The sequence below is a fragment of the Homo sapiens genome, chromosome 2 (assembly GCF_000001405.40).
Source record: "Homo sapiens chromosome 2, GRCh38.p14 Primary Assembly".
In the NCBI taxonomy this organism is placed as follows: Eukaryota; Metazoa; Chordata; class Mammalia; order Primates; family Hominidae; genus Homo; species Homo sapiens.
Genome location: NC_000002.12, coordinates 119,776,232 through 119,794,950, shown reverse-complemented (window position 1 = coordinate 119,794,950; position 18,719 = coordinate 119,776,232). Strand labels below are relative to the sequence as shown.

The following is an 18,719-nucleotide window of genomic DNA, read 5'->3' as shown; positions in this document are numbered from 1 at the left end:
ACTCATCTGGACACTCTGACTACAGAGAGGAGCTGCCCACTGCAGGTCTCCTCTGAGCTGCTCTGTCGCTCAATAAAGCTCCTCTTTGTCTTGCTTACTCTCCACTTGTCTGCATACCTCATTCTTCCTGGACACAGGACAAGAACTCAGGACCCGCTGAATGGCAGGCTTAAAAGAGCTGTAACACAAACAGGGCTGAAACACACCTCTTGCCCACCACGTTGCTGCAGGTGACAAGAAGGACAGAAGAGAGGAGGAGAGAAATGCTGCAGCCCTTCAGGGAGCCCAGACCTAGAAACTCTCCAAGCCAGGGCTCTGACACCCTCTTCAAGGCTCCGTGATTTCTGGCATCTCCAAGCTTCCAGGTGCCACACCGCATTCCCCAGCGTCAGCCGTGGAAGCTGCTTATGGTATGCTTGATCCAGCAACAGCCTTGCACAGAGCCAGCACCCATGCCGACACCTGGAGCTGCATACCCTGCAACAGCCAGCATGCCTGGCTGTGCACAGTGGCTGGACCCCAGCTCCACACACGCCTTGCTGCTCCACATCTGGCTCACCCTTGGCAGGTGTGGGATCCAGGCTGGTAGCGGGAGCCAAGTACAGCCTGCCATGCCAAGTGGATGGAACAAGCCCAGCAGGCCAGAACAAAACTCAGGCAAAGGCGCCACTGGCCACAGAGGTTTCCAGCTGGCTAAGCAATATCCCACGGATCCTATAACAAAAACATCAAGTACTATACTCTAAACATATGTCACTTATTATATGCTACTTTACCTCAACAAAGCTGTTAAAAAAAAATCTGGCCAGGTGCAGCGACTCAAACCTATAATACCAGCACTTTGGGAGGCTGAGGTGGGCAGATAGCTTGAGCCCAGGAGTTCAAGACCAGCCTGGACAATATGGCAAAACCCCATCTCTACAAAAACAAAAAACAAAAATTAGCTAGGCATGGTGGCACGCACCTGTAATCCCAGTTGAGATAGGAGGATCACTTGAACCCAGGAGTTCGAGGCTGCTGTGAGCTATGATTAAGCCACTGCACTCCAACCTGGGTGAAGAGTGAGACTATCACCAAAAAAAAAAAAAAAAAAAAAAAAAAAAACTAAAAATGAAACAAATAAACAAACTATATGGTCAAACCACCTAAGAAGCAAAATATACATGGATTTTTGACATTTGTTGCAGGAAGTCAGGGACCCCGAACAGAGGGACCTGCTGAAGCCATGGCAGAAGAACACAAATTGTGAAGATTTCATGGACATTTATTAGTTCCCCAAATTAATACTTTTATAATTTCTTACGCCCGACTTTAATACAATCTCTAAACATAAACTGTGATGACTTCACGGACATTTATCACTTCCCCAATCAATACTTTTATAATTTCCTATGTCTGTCTTTACTTTAATCTCTTAATCCCATCATCTTTGTAAGCTGAGGATGTATGTGTCACCTCAGGAGCCTGTGATGATTGCATTAACTACACAAATTGTTCGTAAAGCATGTGTGTTTGAACAATATGAAATCTCAGCACATTGAAAAAAGAACAGGATAACAGCGATGTTCAGGGGACAAGGGAGATAACCATTAGGTCTAACTGCCTGGGAGCCGGGCAGGACAGAGTCATATTTCTCTTATTGCTGAAAACGGGTAAGAGAAACATCGCTGAATTCTTTCCCCAGTAAGGAATATTAATAATTGACAGCCCTGGGGAAAGAATGCATTCCCAGGGGGAGGCCTCTAAAATGGCCGCTCTGGGAGCGTCTGCCTTATGCAGTTGTAGGTAAGGATGAAACACGCCCTGGTCTCCTGCAGCGTCCCCAGGCTTGCTAGGATTAGGAAATTCCAGCCTGGTGAATTCTAGTCAGACCAGTTCTCCACTCTTGAACCCTGTTTCCTGTTAAGATGTTTATCAATGACAATGCGCACACAGTGGGACATGAAACTTCATCAGCAATCCCAGTTTCACCCTGGCCTTGTGACCTTGCCCTGCCCATTTGCCTCGTGATACTTTATTGCCTTTGAAGCATGTGATCTCTGTGACCCACACCCTATTCATACACTCCCTCCCCTTTGAAAATCGCTAATAAAAACTTGCTGGTTTTGCAGCTCAGGGGGCATCACAGAACCTACTGACATGTGATGTCTCCCCCAGACACCCAGCTTTAAAATCTCTCTCTTTTGTACTCTTTCCCTTTATTTCTCAGACCGGCTGACACTTAGGGAAAATAGAAAAGAACCTACGTTGAAATATTGGGGGCTGGTTCCCCGATAGATATTCTGGTTCACAATCTCCTGGTTATCATCAAGATTAGTTTAACTTGGCAAAATTCATACTTTGGTAATTTTTCTTCATTATGTTAATAAAATGTAGCTTATTTCTTTCAGTGATGGTAAATATAAGTGCAAATTAAAAATTTTAATATTGGCTTTTAACCTCAGACGTTGTAACAATTCAGCTATGCATTGTTCTATAGATTATAGCCATAAAACCTGTTAATAAGAAAAGAACAGTGATAACCAGTTGTGTGTTTATTCTAGTTAGCCTCTCTCTGCCTCACTTGCTTCACTGAAATGGACAAATAATAATAGCACCCAACTCAAAGGGCTATTGTAGGTACCAGGAAATATAGGTACTGCACTAAGCTAAAACACAAAATGACTAATCTTTAAGTGATCAATTTACCCTAAAAAATAATTTATATAAGTGGTTCTATACATTCTAGCTCAAATATAAAAGAAAGCACTTTATAATGTTTTCAATTTAAAAATCCTTTTGAAATAAAAGGACAGTTTAAAAATGACATCTCAATTTCCATAATCATAAATCGAACTTTCTACCACTGTTAATAGAAGAGCGCAACAGCAGATTCGAACAGACAGAAGAATCAGTCAACTTGAAAACAAGTTAACTGAGAATATCCAGTCTCAAGAACAGAAAGAATAGACTGAAAACAAAACAAAACAAAACAAAAAAACACGAACAGAGCCTGAGACCTCAAAGACACTAACAAGCATACCAATACAGTCACAATAAAAGTCCGAGAAAGATAGTAGACAGAAAAGGGGGCTGACAGAATACTTGAAGAAATAATGGCACCTACCTCCTCAAATTTGACTTAGAAAAATTAATCTACACATCCAAGAAACTTAATGACCTCCAATTAGGATAAACTCAAAGAGATTTATACCTAAACATACCATAGTCAAGTGGTCAAAAATCAAAGAGAAAGAAAATCTCCAGCGCAAAAAGAAAGTAACTCATCACTTACAAATGATCCTCAATTACAGTACAAGGCAATATCTAGTCCAGAAACATGAAGGTTAGAAGGTAGTAGGATGATACATTCAAAGTATTAATAGGAAATGGCTATCAAAAAGAATACCATATGTAGCAAAACAAAGCTTTAGAAAATGAGGAATAATTTTAAATATTCCCAGAGAAACAAAACCTAAAAGAATTTGTCACTAGCAATCTGTCCTATAATAAAAAGTACCAGTTAAGAGTAATTAGATAGCCTAAGCTAGGTGGCTTAGGCCTGTAATCCCAGCACTTTGGGAGGCCAAGGTGGGTAGATCACAAGGTCAAGAGATTGAGACCATCCTGGCCAACCAACATGGTGAAACCCCATCTCTACTAAAAATACAAAAAGTAGCTGGGCATAGTGGCACATGCCTGTAGTCCCAGCTACTCGGGAGGCTGAGGCAGGAGAATCGCTTGAACCCAGGAGGCAGAAGTTGCAATGAGCTGAGATTGTGCCACTGCACTCCAACCCAGACGACACAGCAAGACTCTGTCTCAAAAAAAAAAAAAAAAAAAGAGTAATTAGATAGCTAAATGTAAACAACGGTAGAAATACATTTTGTGTTTGTAACTCTTTTTTCCTCCTATCTGATTTAAAATATAACTGCGTAAAGCAATACAACGTTGATGGGCTTACAATGTATAAAGATGCAATTTGTGTGACAGTAATACAAAGGAAGGGGAAAGGAGGATGTGCTATATAGGAGCAAAATTTCTGAATACTACTGAATTAAGTTGCAGTTCCCCCCATGAGATAGTTATAAGTAAATACCCTGGGCAATCACAAAGAAAAAATTTTCTTGAAAAGATACAGTGAAATAAACAATAGAAATAAAATGACAAATTTAAAAATATCAACATACAACAACAAACAAACAATAATAGATGAATAGAGAAACAAAAGGGACCAAAGACATATAAAACATTTGCAAAATGGTGCTGGTTTGTCAGTAATTTCATTAAGTGTAAATGGACTAAATACTCAAATCAAAAGGCAGAGATGAGCAGAATGGATTTTTAAAACCCTGCTCCAATTATATGCTCTCTACAAAAGCCATATTTCAGATTCTAAAACATAAACAATATAAAAATATATATAAATATATACCCCAAAAAAGTAACAACAGAGCTACCATACCTATACTAATACTAATTTCAGTCAAAATGAGATATTTATCCAAAAGTGCTACTAGATAATAAGTTTTACTCTTATTGTATAAGAACAAAAGGGCAGACAATTATAAACATATATGCAGCTAAAAACAACGTCCCAAAATACATCTAGCAAGAACTGACAGAATTGAAGGGAGAAATAGACAATTTGACAATAGTAGGAGACTTCAATACTTCATTCTCAATAATGAATAAAATATGCAGAAAAATAAACAGAACATTTGAACAACATTATAAACCAACTAGATCTAACAGACATTTATAGAACACTATGACCAACAAAAAAAATATATAGAATCTATTCAAGTGCACATGGTACATTCTCCAAAGTAGAATAATATATATTAGGGCCATAAAAAATCATCAGTAAATTTAAAAGGACTGAAATCATGCAAAGTATGTTATTCAACCACAATGGAATAAAATTAGAAATGAGTAACAGGTGGCCAGGTGCAGTGGCTCACACCTGTAATCCCAGCACTTTGAAAGGCCGAGGCAGGAGGATCACTTGAGGTCAGGAGTTCAAGACTAGCCTGGCCAACATAATGAAACCGAGTCTCTACTAAAAATACAAAAAAAAAATTAGCTGAGCATGGTGGTATGCACCTGTAATCCCAGCTACTCAGGAGGCTGAGGCAGGAGAATCACTTGAACCTGGGAGGCAGAGGTTGCACTGAGCCGAGATCACACCACTGCACTCCAGCCTGAGTGAGTGAGATTCTGTCTCAAAAAATAATAAAGAAGAAATTATCAATTATTAACAGGAAATTAGGAAAATTTACAAGAAAGTGAAAAATAACGCATTCATAAGTAATGGTCAAAGTAAAACACAAGAGAAATCAGAAAATCCTCTGAGATGGATAAATGAAAACAAAAATAACAACACATCAAAATAGATGGGATGTAGAAATAAACCCCTGCATACACAACTCTTAGAAGAAAATATAGGAATAGAGCTTCATGGCACTGGATTTGGCAATAATTTCTTTATATGACACCAATAGCACGGGCAACAAAAGAAAAAAACAGATAAATTGGACTTCATCAAAATTAAAACTATTTGTCTGTCAAAGGACACCATCAAGAAAGCGATTTTTAAAAACACAATAGAGAAGGAAATATTTGCCAATCATGTATCAGATGAACCTAATGTCTGGAATATATAAATAACTTCTATAACTCAACCAAAAACCAAACAATCCAATTTAAAAAGGACAAAGAACGTCAATAGGCATTTCTCCAAAGAAGATATACAAGTGGCCAATATACACATGAAAAGATGCTCAATATCACTAATCATTAGGAAAACGCATATTAAAACCACAATGAAATACCCACCTCACACTTATTTAGATGGTTACTACTTTAAAAAAAAAAAAAGAAAAAAGAAAAATAACAAGTGTTGGCAAGGATAAGGAGAAACTGGAAGTACACTGTTGGTGGGAGTGTAAATGGTGCACCCACTGTGGAAAACAGTAGAGTTGTTCCTCAAAAAATGAAAAATAGAATTATCCTATGATTCAGCAATTTCACTTCTGCTTATATACCCAAAATAACTGAAAGCTGGGTCCCAAAGAGATATTTGTACACACGTTCACAACAGCATTATTCACAATAACCAAAAGATGAAAACAAACCAAGTGTCCATTGAGGAGATAAGCAAAATATGGTATATCCACACAATGAAGTGTTATTGAGCCTTTAAATAGGTAGGCAATTCTGACACATGCTACAATGCAGATGAACCTTGAGACATTATGCTAAGTCAAATACGCCAGTCAACAAAATGACAAATATTATATATAATTCCATTATATGAGGAACCTAGTACGTTCAAAATCACAGACAAAAAGTAGAATGGGGAATGGAGAGATGTTTATTGGGTACAGAATTTCATACTTTAAAGATGAAAAGCATTCTGAAGATGGATGGTGGTGATGGCTCCACAGGAATGTGAATGTACCTACTACTACTGAACTGTACACTTAAAAATGGTTAAGATGGTAAATTTTAGTAAATTTTATGCTATTCATATTTTACCTCGATTAAAAACAATTTTTTAAAACATAACATTTTATGAAGTGATCTAAGTTTCTGTAATCAAATGTTTAGAGGTGTGTCAGGCAGTTAATTAGTGAAATTATTTTATTTTTGAATTTTGTGAAATTTGTGGTATTAGCATCTCTTAATTTGTGATCTCTCTTATTCTAAATAAATACACTCAATTGGATTTCTTCCTCCATCATCTTTTTAAAAATACATTACCTATTTTCAAAAGCCCTGTCAAAATTTGCAAACAACAAGTTAATCTGGGGAGAAAAAGAAAACCCTAAGTTTTCTTACGAACACATCAATAAAACTACTGTAACAAGGGTAAATTTTTAAATAAACCAAAATAAACTTTAATTTTGTTTAATATGTCATATTTATTCCAAATAAAAGTTTATGTTGCATGAAGAGGCATAAAGATTTCAACACTTAATTTAATAATGCACTGCCCTACTCCTAGGGGCAACATTCTATTTTTAAACTTCAGTGCCTAAAATGTCTAATACTAGTCTTTAATACCAGCAATTTCTTCTACTCACCACACATACTGGGCTTTAAAACTAGAAGTGGAAAACATACACACCAACTTAGGGACTCATACCTGATGCTTTCAACCAATTTTTATATATAGTGTGTAAAGAGAGATTAACTTTATTTCTATAGATGAAGAAATAGAACTACATAGGTTCCACAATCCCCTCATTGCCACACTGCTAGAAAGTACAAGACCTAATGAGCCAGACACCAGAGGCTGCAATCATTCTACCATACCTTAAAGATTCATTTATTTATTTAATAAAATATGTATTAAGCATCCACTCTGTTCCAGGTACTACAGTAAGTACTGACGACTTACTAGAGCTAATCTATTAGCTAAGGCAGTAGAAAATATCTGAAAACCAGTTTGGAATCTTTGAAGTATTACATACATAAAGTGTTAGACAATACTACTTCTAATAGCAGTATCACTATTAGTAGTAATCATAATGTATAGATCTTGAATATTAATAAGAATACTACTTAAACATTAAAGTGTCAAATAAAAGGAGCTTTACCTTTGTATTTCTCTTAGCACCTAGTACTGAGCTCTGTACTCAGCAGTATTCAAAAAGTATGTATTATATAGAAACATCAGTATCACTTTGGCCTCTGTTTCCCTCAATGTCCTTCCCCAACTGGGTTTCTGGAACACTAGCAGCCAGGTTTATTGCCCAGGCAGGATACTGGTAATCCCTTTGAGAAAACTAGCCACCAGCCCAGGAGAAGATTTGTAAATGCTAAAACCTGTAAGCCAAAAACAGAACCACCATGCACACACATGCACACGTGTGCACCCACACACACCTACACACCCATTCACGAGTTTCCTATTAGCCTTTTGTTATCTCTCCCACCATTGTCCCATATTACGTCTACTGCATAAAGGTATAATAAGGTGTCTTCCAAATGTATAGTAGTTAAATTAGAACTGTATTATAGTAAGTGCCCAACCTAAAGCCAGGTAGGACCAGGTCAGTGGTGCCTCTCAGGTTGTATCTGTGGGGAAGGGCCAGTTTCTTCCATTTTTAATCTATCACAGGCTATGGCAGATTGTATTTTAACAAAAATGACAGCAACAATTTTCTACAATTTTGCCACTACACCAAGAGGTGGAGTCTATGTCCCTTCCACCATTAATGTGGGTAGACCTTAGTAGCTGCCTCAGTGAATAAGAGGATAGCAGAAATGACGCAGTGACTTCTGAGGCTTGGTCACAAAAGGAGATACAATTTTTACTGGGTTTGTCTGGGGATACTTATCCCCAGAATCCAGTCACCCACCTCCAAGGAAGCCCAGGTCACATGTAGAAAGGAACTGAGATCCTCAGCCCTCAGCACTGACAGAATCTCTGCTCAGAGCCAGCACCAATCTGCCAGATATGTGAGTGGAGCAACTTCAGTTGAGCCACTACAGCTGACTGCAATGAAAAGAGAAAAGTCTTCCTTGCCAAGTCCTGCCCAAATTACAGACTCATGAACAAAATTAATTACTGTTATTGTTTTAAATCATTACATTCTGGGATGGTTACACAGCAGTAGGTAACTAGAACACAGACCAATACAGTATGTTTGCAAATACAATAAAAGTGACTAGAAAATAAAATTTTTTAAGACACAAAAAATACGAGTCATAATTTTTCATTATTAAGCAGAAGGTGAAGTATCTCTCAACTGTTATAAAATACTAATACTAAATACTCACTCTCATTTACTGTATTTATTTCCTCATAGGCCAGGGACTGGTACCCAGTCCATAGACAATCTGTTGAGTAGCACTGTCCTAGGCTATATGAAAGGAGGAGAAGTGTAATTTGACTGGAGTGGCATTAAAACCACTAAATAGTAAGGAAAGAAAGGTGTTCAACCAAGCACGCATTTTTAAAACTTTGCAATCCATTACACTAAATCAACTCTGCTTGAGAGTAAAGGTATCCTGATTAAATACCGTGAAGATGAATGGATCAGTCTATCCACATGGGAGCACTTATACTGCAGAATCCTACACCTCTCTCTCCTTTACTTGGATTTCATACATACCATGAAAACTTCTGATTGCTCTCTCCCTGTCTCTCTCTCATATACACCAGGAAAGCTCTGATTGCTCACACGTGTGCACTCATTCTCTCACACACGTAGACACACACACACAAAGCAAACACGGCAAAATTTTAACAGCTCTTGATTCTCAGTGGTAAAGTATGTAAGTGTTCATTATATGCATCATTCTTTTAATTTTTCTGTGTTTGAAAGTTTTCACAATAAAGCTGAGAAAAATAATTAAAAAACAAAAATTTCATGAAACAGGAATGGATATACTATTTACACTAATAATCTATGGAAATGGAACCCAAAATAATATATAATATATAACAGTATATTTAACAACTCTACTATGCCATTAATCTGACCTGAAACCAGTATATTACCAGTGAGTAAAGCATTTATATACCTCTTAGTCATTCAGCTTTTAAGGATAACCTATATCAGCATTTCTCTCACTTAAGTGTGCATCAGAATCACTTGAGGAGTTTTTAAAAAATACAGATTTTTGGGACCCAATTCCAGATTCTGAAAAAATAACACTTCAGTAAGTCCCGCAAGTGATATCAATGTGGCTGGTCCATATCAATATCTTTGAGAAACACGAATGTAGAGCAGTGGTTCTCAAACAGGGGCAAGTTTGTCCTCCACGGAACACTTGGCAATGTATGCAGACATTTTTTGGTTCTCACAATTGAAGGGTAAAGTGCTACTGGCTCCAGTGCAGAGACGCCAGGGACGCCATTAGACATCACGGATTGCACAGGACAATCATACAAATAATGATCTGGTCCAAAATGTCAATAGTGCTAAAGTTGAGAAACTCTAATCTACTGTTAACAAACAGTATAAGAGGAAGTTTAGAGGTGTTTCTTTTCCTCCTCAGTATCATAAAATGAATAGAAGAAAAATGGAAAGGATGAGGAACCCAGACTGATAAAACTAGAAACTTTGACTTATGCTGCTTTTAATGCCAGACACTCCTCCCTTCAAGAGTTAGAAGACTGACCAGGCATGGTGGCTCACGCCTATAATCTTAGCACTTTGGTAGGCTGAGGCGGGCAGACTGCTTGAGCTCAGGAGTTCGAGACCACCCTGGGCAATACAGCAAAACCCCATCTCTACAAAAAAAAAAAAAAAAAAAAAATTAGCTGGGCAGCTGGGCGCAGTAGCTCATGCCTGTAATCCCAGCACTTTGGGAGGCCAAGGCGGGCAGATCACAAGGTCAGGAGATCGAGACCATCCTGGCTAACACAGCGAAACCCTGTCTCTACTAAAAAATACAAAAAATTAGCCGGGCATGGTGGCAGGCGCCTGTAGTCCCAGCTACTCGGGAGGCTGAGGCAGGAGAATGGCGTGAACCCGGGAGGCGGAGCTTGCAGTGAGCCAAGATTGCGCCACTTCACTCCAGCCTGGGCGACAGAGCAAGACTCTGTCTCAAAAAAAAAAAAAAAAAAAATTAGGTGGGCATGGTGGTGTGCACCTGTAGCCCCAGCTACTTGGTGGTAGGTTAAGGCAGGAAGACTGATTGAGCCCAGGAGATTCTGTCTCAAAAAAAAAAAAAAAAAAAGGGAGTCTACATCACCTCTCTTGATTCTGGGGAAGGAGGGGTGGGGGAAGAAGCTTGAGACTTGTAATTGCTTTGACCAACAGAGTACAGTAGATGTGATGCTATATGACTTCTAAGACTACATCAGAAAAGCCCTTTAGCTTCTATCTAGCTCCCTTGGAACACTCACTCTCAGGATGCTTCCCTTCAGAACCCAGCTTCTAACATGCTGTTAAGAAGCCCAAGCCATATAGAGAAACCATACATAAGTGCTCTGCTCAACAGTCCCAGCTGAGCCCATCCTTCAGTCATTAGACATATGAATAAGCAATCTGCGAAGTGGATCCCCCACCTCCAAGTGTTCCAACCCCCAGCCATTGCCAATGAGCAAGCAGACACTGTGGAACAGAAAAGAGCTCTCACTCCTGTACCCTGTTTGAATTCCTCACTGAGAGATCCTGTAAATAATAAAATGGTGATTAACTTATGCTACTAAATGTTGGCATGGTTATGCAGCAACAATAACTTAAACATCTCACATTCTGTCACTTATTCTTAAAACAATGACAGTTCCTTTTGTTAATCCCCTCAGAAGGATTAAGTGGCTTGCCTACGGTTACGCAGGCAAAAGTAATAGAGTAGTACTTGAATCCAGATCTGTCTAATCTCAAAGATTTCCACCATATCATAATGATTTCTATTTCTTCATGCTGAAATTATTCTGATTGTTATTTTCAAAGTCAACCACAGAAGCACCTAAACTAATTGAAGGTATCACTGAAAAAGACACATTACTATTTGTAAGGTTTGCTAATCTTCAATCTGATTCACTGCACTCAATATATTATTTCCGCAATCTCCACCTCAACACTTGCCCCAGAAAATCAAGGGGAAAAGAAGTCACAATCACATATACTGAGACCTTTGTTACAGTAAGGGCTCACAAATGAGAGAATAACCCTGCTCATGTATGTTGGTGACATTAACAGGAAAAGGATTACAGCTGGACAGAGAATCAATAGTTTTGTTGTTGTTTTACTTAGCATACCCCAGTTTTTCTAACCTTTCCCGATAGCTTCCTATGTTCCTAAATCAATGTACAAATGGAAAAACGTCCTTACTGCAAAAATGAATGAATACGAATGAGTGAAAACTGAACTCAAATGAATGAATGCAAATGAGTGCAAAGCAGCAAAAACAGGGCACCCATTTCAACCAATCATTAAGCTCTCAAAATACAAATATTTCGATGTTACTATGATGCACTCATCTGGAATTTAGTAAAAAAAAAAAAAGGGATTTCAGCCAGGCGTGGTGGCTCACACCTGTAATACCAAGGCAGGAGGATCCCTTGAGCCCAGGAGTTGAAGACCAGCCTGGGGAACATAGGGAGATCCTGTCTCTACACATTTTTTTTTTTAATTAGCCGGGAGTAGTGGTACATGCCTGTGGTCTCAGCTACTCAGTAGGCTGAGGTGAGAGGATAGCTTGAGCCTGGGGGGTTGAGGCTGTAGTGAGCCATCATCATACCACTGATCTCCAGCCTGGATGACAGAGTGAGGTCGTCTCAAAAAAAAAAAGGGGGGTGGGGGGGTTTCATAGCCTAACACAGGGGTCTTTCTTTTCTATTACAAATGTCACAACAACTGTAATATCTAGTAAGCCACTGATTCACTCTAAATCTGTTACTGTCTATCTATTACCTTGGAGCAGTCACTTCATTTTTCTGAACCTCAACTTCCTCATCTGTAAAATGATAGAACTTTTTGTGATCTATAATCTGTACTGTCCTATATAGGAACCATGCCACATAGGATGACTAAACATTTGAAATGTGACTCATATAACTTAAGAATTTTTTTTTCTTTTCGTTTTTTAGACGGAGTCTCGCTCTGTCGCCCAGGCTAGAGTGCAGTGGCATGACCTCGGCTCGTTGCAACCTCTGCCTCCCAGGTTCAAGCAATTCTCCTGCCTCAGCCTCCTGAGTATCTGGGATTACAGGCGCCTGTCTCCACACCCGGCTAATTTTTTTGTATTTTTAGTAGAGACGGGGTTTCACCATGTTGGCCAGGCTGGTTTTGAACTCCTGACCTCAAGTGATCTGCCCGCTTTGGCCTCCCAAAGTGCTAGGATTACAGGCGTGAGCCACCGCGCCCAGCCAAGAATTTTTTATATTTAATTTAAATGGCTACATTTGGCTAGTGGTTATCCTACTGGACAGTGTGGGACTACAGGAACACTAAATATCCTTCTAATTCTAAAATTCGATCACTGCCAATTTCCAACATTTAAAAAAAATTCCTTTCTCCCTAAAATTGAGTAAATAAATGAATCTAATAATATATAACACAATCACGCAGGAAAAAAAGCATTCCAGTAATTGTTAAATATAATAGTATTAAAATTGACAAACATTTTCAGTAAGGAGCCAGGCAGAAAATATTTCAGGCTTTACAGGCCATTAAGATCTCTGGTATAACTACTTAATTCTACCTATGTAGCATGAAAGCAGCCATAAACAATATGTAAACGAATGAGTATGGCTGTATTCTAAATTCAGATATTGAAGTCTGAATTTCATGTAATTTTCATGGGTCATGAAATATTTTTTATTTTTTAAAAGAACTTAAAAACTTAAAAAGCATTCTTAGTTCACAGGCCATACTGAAAAGGTGGTGGTCAGATTTGACCCACAGGCCACAGTTTGCTAACCACAGCAGAATACACTGAAGATAAATCAAAAGAAATATAAAAAACTCCGAACTTTATAAAGTTTGTTGTTGACAGTGGTCTTGATGCAACATTCTGAAACTATTTTGTGTCTATTATAGGATTGAACAAATGAATAAATATTAATATTGTTGAGAACCAGGAGTCTGGCTACAGGACACAAGAGGTCAGATATGGCATCAGAGATGGTTGCAGTACTGGATGAGAATTAGAGGCATTGGTTAATCTCATTTTTAAAAAATTATCCACTAGAACCTAGAAGTCAAAATACTCCAATAACACTGAATATACTTAACCTACTATATACTATTCCTCACTAAAAGAAATTAGGACTCTGGAGAAAAAAGGCTGATTTCAGAGCTGGGGCAAGGAAAATACAAGGTGAGGCTAAATGTCTTGTACTGGTAAGTAAGGAAGTAAGCCCTCAAAATCTAACTGAGGACTAGTCAAAGAAAAAGAGAGGCAGTTTAAAGAAACTCCTATCAGGAAATATGAAACAACTTAAGTTCCAAAATAAATAATAGATTATAATACTCTGAATAAAAATCCATAAGTCCAGAGTGATGCTAATGTTTTTAAGTGAGGGAGAGGAATAACTTTTTAAAAATAATATCTAATGATAAATATAGAAGGAAGAACAGAAATAGAAAAATGCCATTTTACAGTTACTATAACTGATTCAGGCAAGACTTAACAAATGCTAAAATCACTGGGTGAGAGTTGTTGGGTAACAAGATACATAATCCAAAAGTATCACCCCATAAATTACTTATTAATTACAAAGGGGAAACGATATCTTTACAATGGAGAAATCTGTCATATCCCACCTTAACCAAATAATCAAATTTAACATCACCAAAACTGGTATCATAGACACCCTGATGTCATATACTGAGAACATAACACCTTATATAGTGTTCTTGCCAAAAATGTTTAACTTGAATCTAGTGATGAAATAAAACTAAAACAATGAGACAAATCCAAATTGAGGAACATTCTAAAAAACAATTTGCCTGGATTCTTCGAAAATGTGAGGAGTAGATGTAAAAGGATGGGGGAGCGTTGTAGATTTAAAAAGATAAAACAACCTACTGCAATGTGTAGCTCTTGATCCAATCATGGATTTGGCGGGGGGTTAGGGTAGAAAGTATAAGGGACTTGCTTGAACAATTGGAGAAATCTGGAATACAGACTGAGTTTTAGGTAATATTATTGTGTCAATGCTAAATTTCCTGAGTGTGATCATGCTACATAGAAGAATGTGTTTATTACCAAAAGATGCATGATTACATGCTGAAACATTTAGGTTAAGTGTTATGATCATGATATCTGCAATCCTCAAATAGTTCAGAAATTTTCAAAGTACATATAAAGAGAGAGCAAGAAAGCAAAGTATCAATTAATGAATCTATGCAAGATTATACAGATGTTCAATATACCATTCTTACTACTTTTCCATAGGCATGATATTATTCAAAATAAAAAGTTGTGAGGAAAGAGTTAAAAAAAAAATTATTTCAGCCAGGTGTGGTGGCTCATGCCTGTAATCCCAGCACTTTAAGAGGCCAAGGAGGGCAGAGTTCTTGAGTCCAGGAGTTTGAAACCAGCCTAGGCAACATGGCGAAGTCCTGTCTCTACAAAAAATACAAAAAATTAGCTAGGAGTGGTGGTGAGTGACTGTGGTCCCAACTACCCAGAAGGCTGAGGTGGGAGGATCACTTGAGCCTGGGAAATCGAGGCTGCAGCAAGCCAAGATCACACCACTGCCCTTCTCCTGGGAGACAAAGAGAGACCGTGTCTCAAAAACAAAAAATAAAAGAATTATTTCAAATTCTGCTTTTATACTTAACAAATGCATACACAATAAAACCACAGTTATCAAAAATCATCAATCAATTACCCACCGAAAAAGTATCCTCGATAGCTGATCTTTTTTTTTTTTTTTTTTGAGACGGAGTCTCGCTCTGTTGCCCAGGCTGGAGTGCAGTGGCACAATCTCGGCTCACTGCAAGCTCCGCCTCCCGGGTTCACACCATTCTCCTACCCCAGCCTCCCGAGTAGCTGGGACTACAGGTGCCTGCAACTATGCCCGGCTAATTTTTTGTATTTTTAGTAGAGATGGGGTTTCACCGTGTTAGCCAGGACAGTCTCAATCTCCTAACCTCGTGATACGCCTGCCTCGGGCTCCCAAAGTGCTGGGATTACAGGCGTGAGCCACCGCGCCCAGCCGACAATTCTTTACACTTATTTGAAATGGAATATTCCCAACTGGACCATCTGCTTTGCTACCAACTTAGTTTATTACACAATGTTTTGTATGTAATTATAAATTCAAATGCTGGTAGTATAAGATAATGGACTAACTTAGCTTATTGTTATAACGCTGTATACAAAGAAGGTTCCCTCAAGCCATGTGAACTGAACTTGGCAACAGAATGGGCCAGATTCCCTTAGGATAGTGCTACCAAAACTATGAACTATAAAACTGATACCCTGTAGAAGGAAAAAAAATTCAAATGTAGCAACAGGTTTTGCTCTAAAATTTCTCTCTCTGTACTTACACATACCAAACACATTTATATAGAAGTCATTATGCAACAACTTAAATAAGAAGCTTCTTATTTAAGAAATGGTATACGACAACAAAGTATTCCTGGTAATCATGTGCAAAATCAATCATCTGAAACAGGAATGCGTAACACTGGACCTACACTGGGATTCACTGATGTACAGACAGCATTTTCAAAATGTCCTTTGTATGTCCTCTACTCAATTGTTACCGACCTGATAAGAATAAAGAATTACAATGTCAAAATAGATTTTATATTAACTATATATTAAATACAGGAATCTAATTTGTGCCATTTCTTGCATCAAACTGATTTACCTAAGGCTTTTCCTTTTTTATTTAACTTATTTTAATCTTTTACAACTCACTATATCCTATTTATACATTTCAGCATTTAAAGTACTGTGCGTGCAAGAAAGAAACACACTCCCGACCCACTAAGGCCCTACAGAGTTCTCTAAACCTATGCCTTCAATATACCTGTTTATTCACGTAAGTATGTGAATAGCTCCTAGTTGCTAGACACAGTGCTAGATGCTAGAGATACACATATGCACACATCTAGATCTCTGCCCTCAAGAAGCTCAGTCTAGTTAGGGATGGAAACTAAATAATTCAGTGAAATTATTTACTAAAACAGACGTATATTAATTAATTTAGTGAGTCAAAGAACTACTCTTTCTCCTATCTACAGTTCATTACCTAAGTACTAGAAACATTAGAAGCAGCCAGCTAGTTCTTTCCCTCTCTCCCTCTCCATTTTCTAAATTTCTGTCCTTTGGTCTCCTCCCTATGAGATTCCAACAATAAAGCCAATCTTTCATAAGTACTACCAGTCAATGAGAATATTTTTATTTTTGTCTAAAAAGAGGCAGTCTTATAGTGTATGTGGTATTATATTTAAAGCTTTATTGTTCCTCTCTTCCCTAGCAAAAAATATTTTATTAGTTAGAGGTTTAGTGCATTTTTTTAGAGGAAAAAAAAAAAAGAATGCCGGTCTCTATAGAGTTTTTATACTTCCTTCAGAAAGCAACTGTTTCCAGTGGTCACAGTAGCTCACATCTATAATCCCAGCACTTTGAGAGGCTGAGACCAGAGCATCCTTTGAGCCCAGGAGTCCAAGATCAGCCTGGGCAATATGCCAAGACCTCATCTCTTAGGGGAAAAAAAAAAATTAGCTGGGCATGGTGGAACACACCTATGGTCCCAGCTACTAGGGAGGCTGAGGTGGGAGGATCACTTGAGGCTAGGAGGTTGAGACCGCAGTGAGCTGTGAGCATGCCACTGCATTCTAGCTAAGGAGACAGAGCAAGACCCTATCTCTAAAATAAATATATATAAAATACTCTAGTTACACCAGAATTAGCAGAATATTTATAACTAAAGGCTCGAATCAAGTGTCCATGTGTTAGGCAATTAGATAAATGTTCCTCTACTTTTCCCTAACCCCTCCCATGTTCAACATATCTATTAAGTACCTCACATTGTGCCAGACAGGAAGAAGCAACATGAATATATCGACAAACAAAACAAGATAAAGGTCCTTGCCCTCATGGAGCTTCCATTATAATGAGGAAAGAAAAAAATATATATAGTATAATGTGAGGTGGTAAGCAAAGGAGAACAGCCATGTAGGAGTAGGAAAGCAATTTTAAATAGGGTGCTCAGGAAAGCCATGGCTGAGAAATTTGCTTTTGAGCAGAGACTTAAAAAGTAAAAGAGTGAGCCATGTGCATACTCCATCTGCCTGGAACACTTGGGAGAAAGGTGGGTGTTCAAGGCAGAAGGAAGAACAAACATGAAGACCTGAAGTAGGAACAAGTCTGCCAGTGCCAGGAACAAAAAGGAGGCCAGTGTGCCTTGAGAAAAATGAAAAAGAAGAGTGGTCAAAGATAAGGTCAGAGAGACAGCCAGGTCCACAGACCATGTAGGGCTTTTTTGGCCACAGTAAAAACTTTAGCTTTTACTCTAAGAAAGAATGGAAGCCGTTAAAGGATTTTGAGCAAAAGAGCAAGATCATCTCCTTTACCATATAAATACAGTTGACCTTTGAACAATGCAGGGTTTAGGGGCACTGACCCCTGCACTGTCTAATTTCTCCATGTAACTCTTGACTTTCCCAAAACTTCACTACTAACAGCCTACTGTTGACCGGAAATCTTACCAATAACAAAGTCAATTAACACATATTTTGTATGTTACATGCATTATATATACTGAATTCTTACCATAAAGCTAAAGAAAATGTTAAGAATCCTAACGAAGAGAAAATATATTTACTATTCATTAAGTGCAAGTGGATCATCACAAAGGTCTTCATCCTCACTGTCTTCACATTAAGTAGGCTGAGGAGGAGGAAGAGGAAAGATTGGTGTTGCTGTTTCTGGGTGGCAGAGATAGAAGAGGTGGAGGAAGTGGAAGGGGAAGCAGGAGAGGCAGGCACACTCCACGTAACTTTACAGAAATACATAGTAATTTCTGTTGGGCTTTTTAAAACTTTCACTTAAAATGTTTACATTATGGGCCAGGTGCGGTGGCTTACGCCTGTAATCCCAGCACTTTGGGAGGCCGAGGAGGGCGGATCACAAGGTCAGGAGATTGAGACCATCCTGGCTAACTTGGTGAAACCCGTCTCTACTAAAAACACAAAAAATTAGCCGGGCGTGGTGGCAGGCGCCTGTAGTCCCAGCTGCTCTGGAGGCTGAGGCAGGAGAATGGCGTGAACCCAGGAGGCGTAGCTTGCAGTGAGCCAAGATTGCACCAC

The 18,719-nt window shown here is 38.5% G+C and overlaps 1 protein-coding gene across 1 annotated transcript in view, besides 1 other annotated feature; it reads right to left on the bottom strand.

Annotated features, from left to right (window-relative positions):
- PTPN4 (protein tyrosine phosphatase non-receptor type 4) overlaps positions 1-18,719 on the bottom strand; it is a 224,978-nt gene that overhangs the window by 189,949 nt on the left and 16,310 nt on the right. The window lies entirely within an intron of this gene.
- Positions 12,400-12,619: an enhancer, noted in NCBI's record as "active region_16454". NCBI's record gives its function as "activates an Ori minimal core promoter by ATAC-STARR-seq in GM12878 lymphoblastoid cells {active_cell/tissue: GM12878}" and the evidence as "EXISTENCE:reporter gene assay evidence [ECO:0000049][PMID:35858748]".